General features: G+C 45.9%; 2 annotated features.

Annotated features, from left to right (window-relative positions):
• Positions 9,523 to 9,572: an enhancer, noted in NCBI's record as "active region_25559". NCBI's record gives its function as "activates an Ori minimal core promoter by ATAC-STARR-seq in GM12878 lymphoblastoid cells {active_cell/tissue: GM12878}" and the evidence as "EXISTENCE:reporter gene assay evidence [ECO:0000049][PMID:35858748]".
• Positions 9,613 to 9,692: an enhancer, noted in NCBI's record as "active region_25558". NCBI's record gives its function as "activates an Ori minimal core promoter by ATAC-STARR-seq in GM12878 lymphoblastoid cells {active_cell/tissue: GM12878}" and the evidence as "EXISTENCE:reporter gene assay evidence [ECO:0000049][PMID:35858748]".

Raw genomic sequence — 10,144 nt, 5'->3', positions numbered from 1 at the left:
TTGTGTCTGGCTTCTTTCACTCTGCAAGATGTCCACGAGTTTCATCCACATTGTAGTGTGTGTCAGTGCATCTTTCCTTTTGATGGCTGAGTAATATTCCATTGTATGGCTACCGCACAATTATTTATCCACTCATTCATTGGTGGACATTGGGGTTGCTCCCACCTTTTGGTTATTGCAAATAGTGCTGCTGTGAACATTCACGGACAAGGATTTGTTTGGGTGCAGGAATTTATTTTTGAGACCATGCAGGCAGCTAGAGGCAGAGCCTAAGTGAAAATGTAGGTTCTCTGGCTCCCAGGCTGATGCATATTCTAAACTGTGTTAGAATGAGACACAGCCAAGAGGTGCAAGGGGTGGAGGTGGGGAGATGCCAGGTCCTGGCTATTTCCAAGGTGATTTTCACAATGAATCAGAACCAGAAAATTGCCGCTGTGTCAGGTTCTTCCCAGATATTCAGACAAGTCTGATATCATGCAAATAAAGCCACCTGACAATGAAGATTCAAAGACAAGAGGAGGGTTTGATCTTATTCTTTCCTTTTCAAGATACATACACACACACACACACACACACACACACACACACACAGACACAGACACATACACACACACCACCCTACCCTAAGCTGGGCCCTGAAACAGCACCAAACGTTTTGAAATCTTAGGGACTTTTCTCAAAAAATTCCTCCCAGTAAAGCTCTTCCAGAATGCTCTATTGAGCCATCGGGCTCCTTTTGTCTTTCCAAACCCAGGACAGCTCCTACAGCAAATCACAGCTGCTGAGAAAATATGAAGACAGTAGCCAGAGGAGAAAGAACCCGACATTTCCAGCTTTCAAACCCGGGCATTGCACGGGTCCCCAGAATGGCCTTTGTTGCTGTATTTTGAAAGAACTCTGATCACCCCCAGGGGCCCCTGCAGGTTGCAGGCTTTGAGTTCCAGCTCTGGAGCTTGCTCTATGTTGGTTGTTATGCAAAATTAATTATCTTGGTCATTTGAATGTTTTCCCCCAAACATAATATAATCTCATTACAGACTACTCCATACCAGAGTGAATCTCGAGCCAAATTCCATTTGGGAAATTGAAGGTAATTTAGAGTTATATGATTTGCAAAAAAAAAAAAAAGAAGAAGAAGAAGAAGCCCCTTTCTCTGCTAAATGCTAATTTGGTCTGTCTGCATAATGTAAAAGTGACATTCGTTTGGTTGGGGAATTGCCATAAGTGTGTAGGCGACTTGGGGCAGCAGAGGGGTAGTTCACAATTTTTCAGTGAGTTCATCTGGAAAGAGTCAGCACATAATTCTGGGAGGCAGGTGGCAGAGGACAGAGAGCCAACAGGCTTTCCAGAGACCAGGACTTGTCTGCTGGTGGGAGGATGCTCCAGCAGACAAGTCCATGGGAGATATGGCCTTTATGGCTAAGAAGCTGCTGTGAACAACAGAGAGGTGCTGGGGCATTTGGACGAAGCAGGAGGAGAAGGAGAGAGGCTGGATCACCTGGGCTGGCCCAATTTTAGCTCACACAGGGTGCATGAGTCAGCTCAGGCTGCCCTAACAAGCACCATGAACAGGGCGGTTTCAACAACAGACTTTTATTTTCTCACAGTTCTGGAGGCTGGAAATCCAAGATCAAGGTATCGATTGGTGGGGTTGGTTTCTCCTGAGGCCTCCTTCCTTGGCTTGCAGACAGCCACTTTCTCCCCACATCCTCCTATGTGCATCCCTCTGTGTGTGTCTGTGTCTTAACATTTATGCCTGAGGTTGCAATTTTTTGAATTTTTGCAATCAGACCCCTGCGATGACCTTGAGCAGTAGGATATAAATAATTCTCACATGCTTAGCGTTCCAGTAATGGAACACTAGGCATAAATGGGTATTAATCTCCTCTTCTCATGAGGACACCAGGCAGATTGGATTAAAGCCCACTCCGATGACCTCATTTTACCTTAATCCCCTCTTTAAAGACCCTGTCTCCAAATGCAGTCACATTGTGTGGTACTGAGAGTTAGGGCTTCAGCAGAGGAATTTGCAGGGAACAGCTTTCAACCTATCACAGATAATGAAGCCAAAGTACCATCCATCCAGCTCCCGCCAAATCACACCCAGATGCCCACAGCAGCCTCATCGGTTCCTGCCCTCACCCTTCCTGGAGCACTCAGGAGGTAGTGACCAGGGTGAGTGATTTTTTTTTTTTTTTTTTTGAGATGGATTCTCACTCTGTCACCAGGCTGGACTACAGTGGTGTGATCTCGGCTGACTGCAACCTCTGTCTCCCGGGTTCAAGCGATTCTCCTGCCTCAGCTTCCCGAGTAGTTGGGATTACAGGCATGAGCCACCACACCCTGCTAATTTTTGTATTTTTAGTAGAGACGGGGTTTCACCACGTTGGCCAGGATGGTCTCAATCTCTTGACCTCGTGATCTGCCCACCCTGGCCTCCCAAAGTGCTGGGATTACAGGCATGAGCCACCGTGCCCAGTCGAGTGATGTTCTTAAAGCATCCATCAGCTCTTGTCTCTCTCTCCCAGACCTCCTGTGACTTCCCACTGAGTTTTGAATGATGCAAACCCCCCAACAGAGCTCCAGAGCTGGCCCTTGCCTGGATCTCCAGCTCTGACCTCCAGTCATCGTGGTGCTCAAGACAACTGGACTCTTTGTTTTCCCCGCCCCTCCCAGCCCTCCCAGGTCTTTCCTCTTCTGCCTCAGGGCATTTCATGGAGGTCTTCTGCTGGGAGATGCTCTCTGGCTCCCTATGCTCCTGGTCTGGCTAACTCACTCCTTGGAGTCTCTACTTGAATGTCACTTCCTCAGGACAGCCTTCCCTGGTTCTCTCTCCTCTGATCTACAGGAGCCCCCACTGCCAGGCACATGGCAGACATTCAATAGGTACTTGTTCTACAGAAGGGAAAAGGAATGAATGAATGAATCAATGAATGAACAATCAAGTGAATAAACAAGTAAATATCTCCAAGCACAGTGCATGGCCTTTCAGCCCCTCCAGTGAAAGTTGAAAGCCTTAACCAGGGAGTCTTGACCTTTACGTTGGTGCAGAGGTTACAGAGCTCCAGGAAACTAGAGGTGCTCTCATTCTTCTCTACCCTGATGAAGGACTTACCAGGGGGCTGGGCACAGTGGCTCACACCTATAATCCCAGCACTTTGGGGGCTGAGGTGGGAAGATCGCTTGAGCCCAGAAGTTTAAGACCAGCCAGGGTAATGTAGTGAGACCCCATCTCTACAAAAATAAAAAATTAGCCAGGCATGGTGGTGTGCACCCGTAGTCCCTGCTGCTCAGGAGGCTGAGGCAGGAGGATTGCTTGAGCCCAGGAGGTAGAGGCTGCAGGGAGCTATGATTGCACCACTGTACTCCAGCCTGGAAAACAGGAAGACCCTGTCTCTTAAAGAAAAAACGCAAACAAAAAAAAAAAGGTACTTACCAGAAAGAGCTCACCTGTGTCACCTGTTCCTAAGATTTCACCACCTACCCTCCCAACCCACTGCAAGTGACCGTCCACAGCTATGAGGGTTGGGACTCTCTGGCCAGTGACTCTCCCACCCCAACTTCTCTCTCACTAGATCTATCAAATCATAAATCACAGAGTGAGGCTGAGAGATGTTTCAAGCAGCAGTGAGAGTCCCCAGTAGGCTTCTCCCTCATTTCTTTTTCTTGGGTTATTATCACTCAAAAGCCTGTTCAAGCCAATCACCCCCTCCAACTTGGCATTATGGTTGTGAGCTAATCAACGACCTTCATAGAATTTGACAACCTTGTTCAGACTCATGTAAGTACAACTGCTAGTGGAATGTGAGTGCAACAAATTAATAAATGATTCCTTGAAAGGTTGGTTCTCATTCCCTATGAAGTGATACAGTCAGAGGTGAGGTCCCTCCAGATGCACATGCTGAGGGCAAAGAGTTGAGAGTAAGGAGTTTATTGGTAAATTGATCCCCAGGAAGCATTGATAGGTGAATGGGAAGTAAGGAGAGAAAGGGAATTGTGGTAGGTCGGATGTTCACATCTTAATTCCTGAAACCTATGAATGTTACCATATGATATAGTTTGGATATTTGTCCCTGCCCAAATCTCAGGCTGAAATGTAATCCCCCGTATTGGAGGTGAGGCCTGGTGGGAGGTGACTGGATCACAGGGGTGGATGTCTCATGAATGGTTTTGCACCATCCCCTTGGTGCTGTCTTTGCTGTAGTGATATGGTTTGGCTGTGTCCCCACCCAAATCTCATCTTCCATTTTAGCTCTCATAATTGCCATGTGTCATGGGAGGGACCTGGTGGAGGTAATTGAATGATGGGAGTGGATCTTTCCCATGCTGTTCTTGTAATAGTGAGTAAGTCTCATGATCCACATTGTAGTGTGTGTCAGTGCATCTCTCCTTTTCATGGCTGAGTAATATTCCATTGTATGGATACTGCACAATTATTTTACAGCACACAGTTTTTTTGACCTGATGGTTTTATAAAGGGGAGTTCCCTTGCACACACTCTCTTGCCTGCCGCAGTATAAGATGCGTTTTTCTTCCCCTTCACCCGCTGCCATGATCGTGAGGCCTCCTCAGCCATGTAGAAGTGTAAGTCCATTAAACTTCTTTTTCTTTATAAATTACCTAGTCTTGGGTATGTCTTTATTAGCAGCATGAGAACAGACTAATACCCATAGTGAGTGGGTTCTCATGAGATCTTGTCATTTAAAAGTGGATGGCACCTCCCCCAACTCTCTTTTGCTTTCACCATGTGAGATGCCTGCTCCAGCTTCACCTTCTACCATGATTGGAAGCTTCCTGAGGCCTCCCCAAAAGCAGATGTTGCTGTACTTCCTGTACAGTCTGCAGAACCGTGAGCCAATTAAACCTCTTTTCTTATAAATTTCTCAGTGTGAGGTATTTCTTTATAGCAATACAAGAATGACCTAATACACCTTAGGTGGAAAAAAAAGGGGACTTTGCTGATGTAGTTAAATTGAAGTCCTTGGGGTAGGGAGATTATCCTGGATTATCTGAATGAGTCCTTAATACGATCACATGTATCCTTATAAAAGGGAAATAGAGATTTGACTACAGGAATCTTCACCCTTCTCCACCTTGATGAAGGACTTACCAGGGCGCCGGGTGCGGCTGGCTCACACCTGTAACCCCAGCACTTTGAGAGGCTGAGAGAGGAAGATCACTTGAGCTAGAAAAAGTAGCTCAAGGTAGGCCAGGCACGATCTAGGCTTAATAAATATTTGTTGCGTAACAGAAGAGAAGGCAATGTGAAGAAGGAGGCACAGACTGGAGTGATGCAGCCACAAACCAAGAAACTCCAAGGATTAGCCAACAGCCACCAGAAACTGGAAAAGGCCAGGAATGGCTTCTCCCCTAGAGACTATTGAGGGAGCATGGCTCTGTAGACACTTATTTCAGCTCACTGATACTGATTTTTGGACTTCTGGCCTCCAGAACGAGGAGGGAATAATATCTACTGTTTCAAGCCACCAAGTTTGTGGTCATACATTATGGCAGCCACAGGAAGCTAACACAGGAAGAAAACTAGTAATGTGTGTGTTACCAAGCAGCTCACTGCTGTGGGAAAGTGAAGCTCAGTCCTGCTGGGGACTCTGGAAAACAGTGTGAAACGTGGCTCAGACTCATCCCAGCTGCGAGCAAGGGAGCTGGGAAATGTATGCACTGACTCCCATCAGTCGCTGGTTTAAGGGTGTTCCTGCGGGAGGAGGGGGTATTCAACTTTCTGTCTCGTGTGTGAGCCAAGCAGGTGCCAGCAGCCAGAGAGAGCTCTCAGGAAGAGTTGCAGCCGCTGCAGTTACACCTCTGCATGAGTCCATGTGCATAAAAATGAGGAGTGCTGAGGGCATTTGGGCAGGGCAACAATGATGTCTGCTACACACACAAAAATAAACGGAAAAGCTCCAAAGCGGATACCCAAACTGGGGCAAAAAGGTTAAGCCTACTACGTGAAAACCTTTTTCAATGAATAAACCAGGAAGATGATAGATGAAGCTGAAAACTAACCCATAGCTTCAACATTACCTATTCAATCAGCCTAGAAAGGAAAGAAGAATTAGCACTGGTTGAATATCTGTATCAGTCAAATGCTTGCATCCATCTTTTCATTTACGAGGCCATAATTCTATTTGGAGTAGTGCATTAGTTTCCTAGGGCTGCTGTAAAAAAAAAAAAGAAGACCACAACCTGTGTGGCTCAAAACAACAGAAATGTATTCTTGCAGAGTTCTGGAGGCCAGAAGTCTCAGATCTAGGTGTTGGGAGGGTTGCTTCCTTCTGGTTCTGGAGGAGAATCTGTTCCATGACTCTCTTCTAGCTCCTGATGGTCATTGCCAGTCCTTGGTGTTCACGGACTTGTAGATGCATCACTGCTTTCTCTGCCTCCATCTTCACACGGTCTCTCTCTCTCTGTCTCTCTCTATCTTCTCCCCTTCTTATATAGAAACTCATCGTTAGATTTACAGCCAACCCTAAATCCAGAATGATTTCACCTTGAGATCCTTAACTAATTTTATCTGCAAAGACCCTATTTCCAAATACACTCACATTCTGAGTTTCCAGTAGACATGAATTTTTGGAGGATACTGTTTCACCCACTACAACTCATTTTTACAAATGAGGAAGCTGAGGTTGCCCATGGTCACAGAGCTTGTGGGTGATGGAAGTATGACTCTGGCCTAATTTTGTATGACATCAAAGCGTTGGAGCTGCTATATGTGGGTGGTAGAGATATTTAAAGCCTCTGAGAGAAGGCTTCTAATAAAAGTAGCTCAAGATAGGCCAGGCGCAATCTAGGCTTAATAAATATTTGTTGCGTAACTGAAATGAATATTCCCAGAGGACCCCACATTCCAGGCTCTAGACACAATGCATTTCTTTTTTATTTCTACGTAATGGGACACTCTGCCCTGGGAAATTGGGAAGAAGGCATGATCCAGCCAAGGTCAATTGTCCACAGTTTGTGCTTCTGTCTACTGCTGTTGTGCTTGGCATTAGAAAAACCCTCAGCCACAATAAATTTTATATTTTACTGCCTTTTTACCTGTTTCTCAAACAGTTTCAAGTACACTGGAGCATCTTTTATCCTTAATGGTCTGTTTTCCCAAAATTTATTTTTGGAAACCAATGAGTAAACAAAAGACACCAAACCCAGCTTGATACCAATAATCCTGAACCAAACAAATTAGATCTCCTTTTTAGTTTCTTTCCAATGCTTTAAAGGGCCTTATGAGTCATTAATTTGTTGGCTCTTGTAGAAGTATTTATGCAGGGCCATTAAGTAGCACAAACTGTGGAGGAAAATTGAGATGCTTTATGAATGTAGCCTCTGACCCCACCTGCCAATCTCCCTATAGGAGGAAAACACAGACAGGACTCTTGGCCTTGGGGGTCCCACTTCATTGTGGCCTGGTTTTCAATCCCCAGGCAATAATCTTCTCACCCTCATTCACATCTCTAGCCAAAAGCAGAAAATAAAACACAAGGGCAGAACTCTCAACTCTAGGGGGGGTGAAATCTGGGTCCCAGAGCAAAAATTAGTCACACCCCAAAAACTGATTTCTCCAAGCAGAAATGACAGATTCTCATCTCTGTCATATGGTCTGAGCCACAGTATAAGGCAATGCAGTTTTGACACCAGCCACCTGGACTTGGGTCACATTTCACAGGTTAAGGGCACAGTCTTCCACAAGACTGTCCTCCCTTCAGGCACCCACTGCAAGCGCCAGGGCTCCCAGGCCACCCACACTTCTGACAAACTGGCTACACATTCGGGGGCTCCCATTACTCTCTCAGGTTCAGTAACTCATAGACCAACTCAAAGCACTAAAAAAGCACTGTACTTTCTATAATTGTTTATTATAAAGGAACAACCCCCCCAAAAAAAACCCATGGGAGGGCCCAATTCACAAAGCTTCTGTGTCGCCCTCTGAGCACACAGAAGTATGACTCCCAACCCGGGGAGCTCAACTGAGTCTCATCATTCAGAGGTTTTTTTGTGGTTTCATTATGTAGGCATGATTGACTAGATAACTGGCCACATGATTGAACTCAATCTCCAGCAACCCCTCCACTCCCCAGACATCATCAGGCTGATGTCACTGGCCCAAAGTCCCAACTCTCTAATCACACAGTTGGTCTTTCTGGTGTGGCTGGCCACCATCCCGAGTCACCTTGTTAGCATAAACTCAGGCAATCCCATCACTCAGGAAATTCCAAGAATTAGAAGCTTCCTCCTAGGAACCAGAAACAAGGGTCAGACAAATGATTTATTACAGGACACACATATGTACAACAGGTAGGACTGAAATTAATGAAGTATCCTCTCTCTCCTCCTGTGAATAAAAATCTTCTGTCACTGGTCAGTTTTCTAGCTCATAAAAAGAAGGGATTCTTGCTTGCTGGGATCAAATTTATGGGACAGATGGGGAAGAGGGGAGAGGAGGCTGAGAGCAGGGGCTTGGGAAGGGGAGCAAGAAGTGAGGTCCTTTGGAGCTTTTGGGGTTGGAGATGGAAGGGGGTTTCAATAAATGTTCAGGAGGGCTTAAAATGGATTCTCTGGAATATGTTTGGCTTAAGAATGAAATTCATTTTAATTTCTTTTCATGGTGGACCTGTGCTTTTCAATACTTTTTTCCAGCAGAGACTGAGCTGGGAGGCTCATCCCCCTGGGATTTATCATTATTTCATCCTTGTCAATCTTCTTTTTCTAACAGTGAGCTTTTTTCTCTTTCTTTCTTTCTTTTTCTTTCTTTCATCCATCTTTCTTTCTTTTTCTTTCTTCTTTCTTTTTTTCTTTCTTCTTTCTTCTCCTTCCTTCCTTCCTTTCTTCCTTCTTTTCTCTCTCCCTTCTCTCTCTCTCTTTCTTTTTTTAGAAAGGGTCTTGCGCTGTCACCCAGGCTGCAGTACAGTGGCACAATCATAGCTCACTGCAGCCTCAAACTCCTGTGCTCAAGCAATTCTCCCTCCTCAGCCTCCCAACTAGCTGGGACTACAGGTCTACACCATCATGCCCCACTAATATTTTTGATTTTTTTATAGAGACGAGGTCTCACTATGTTGCCCAGGCTAGTCTCAAACTCCTGGCCTTAATTAATCCTCCTGCACGGCCTTCCAAAATGCTGGGTTACAGGCATGAGCCACTGTGCCAGGCAAGGGAGAAGACATTTGAAAGCACAGGTCCAAAGTTAAAAAAATTCAAATGAATTTCCTTCCTAAGCCATGTCTCTTCAAACATTCTATGACCAGCTCATCCATCCATGCCCCCTTTGCTGGCCGCCTTCCCTTCCCGTCTCACTTCCCATCTCTCCTGCCAGTGTTTCCTGGGATCCTTTCCCAAATAAACCACTTGCATGCGAAGATTTCCTGAGGAATAACTGAGATTCTATATCGAGGCCTCAGCACAGCGGGGGCACACAGGAAACCTCCTTAAATAACAAGTGCAATCATGTATTTCCACCTCTGCATGGGTGAAACTTAGAAGGGCTTCATGGAGACGTCACTGAGATCGGTATGGGAGGGAAAGGTGGGCGTTGTCCAGATAGAAGCTAGGGCTGCACCACGATGGTGGATGAAGTCACCAATGGAGGGGTGGGAAGGAAGGAGGAAAGAGCGCCACCTGGGGGCGGGAAAAAGAGCAGCCTGAGGAGTCGAAGAGTTGGCCAAGGTCATCAACAAGGAACAGAAATCGTTGCTCTCCTGAACTCCCCACCCTCAGCAGGAATAGACAATTCCTCAAGCCCTGTGGCCCTGGTCCTGGCTCTGTGGTCCTCTCTGCTTCAAGGTCTGTCCCCAACAACCCATCCCAGAGCCCACAGTTCAGGTAGGAAACGTGGACTTGTTGACCTAGCCTGAACTTTTTTCTTTTCTTTATTTTTGTTCCTGTTATTTCTCTTACTTTGTGCATGAACCTTTATTGCAATCAAAGCAGCATTTTATATTTACAAGCTGCCTTTCATCAGACACTGATGTGACACTCACCAGAGTCTGGGAACTTTACAGAAGCCACACAACAAGCTCCTCTAATCTCAAAGGCAAGTGTCGGGGCGGGGAGGAAACAGGGCACACACACACACACACACACACACACACACACACACACACACACCACCCCCATTGCCAGGTTCTGAGTT

This window comes from Homo sapiens, chromosome 7 (genome assembly GCF_000001405.40).
Source record: "Homo sapiens chromosome 7, GRCh38.p14 Primary Assembly".
Taxonomy (NCBI): Eukaryota; Metazoa; Chordata; class Mammalia; order Primates; family Hominidae; genus Homo; species Homo sapiens.
The sequence above is the reverse complement of the archived record's forward strand: the minus strand, read 5'-3'. Positions and strand labels throughout refer to the sequence as shown.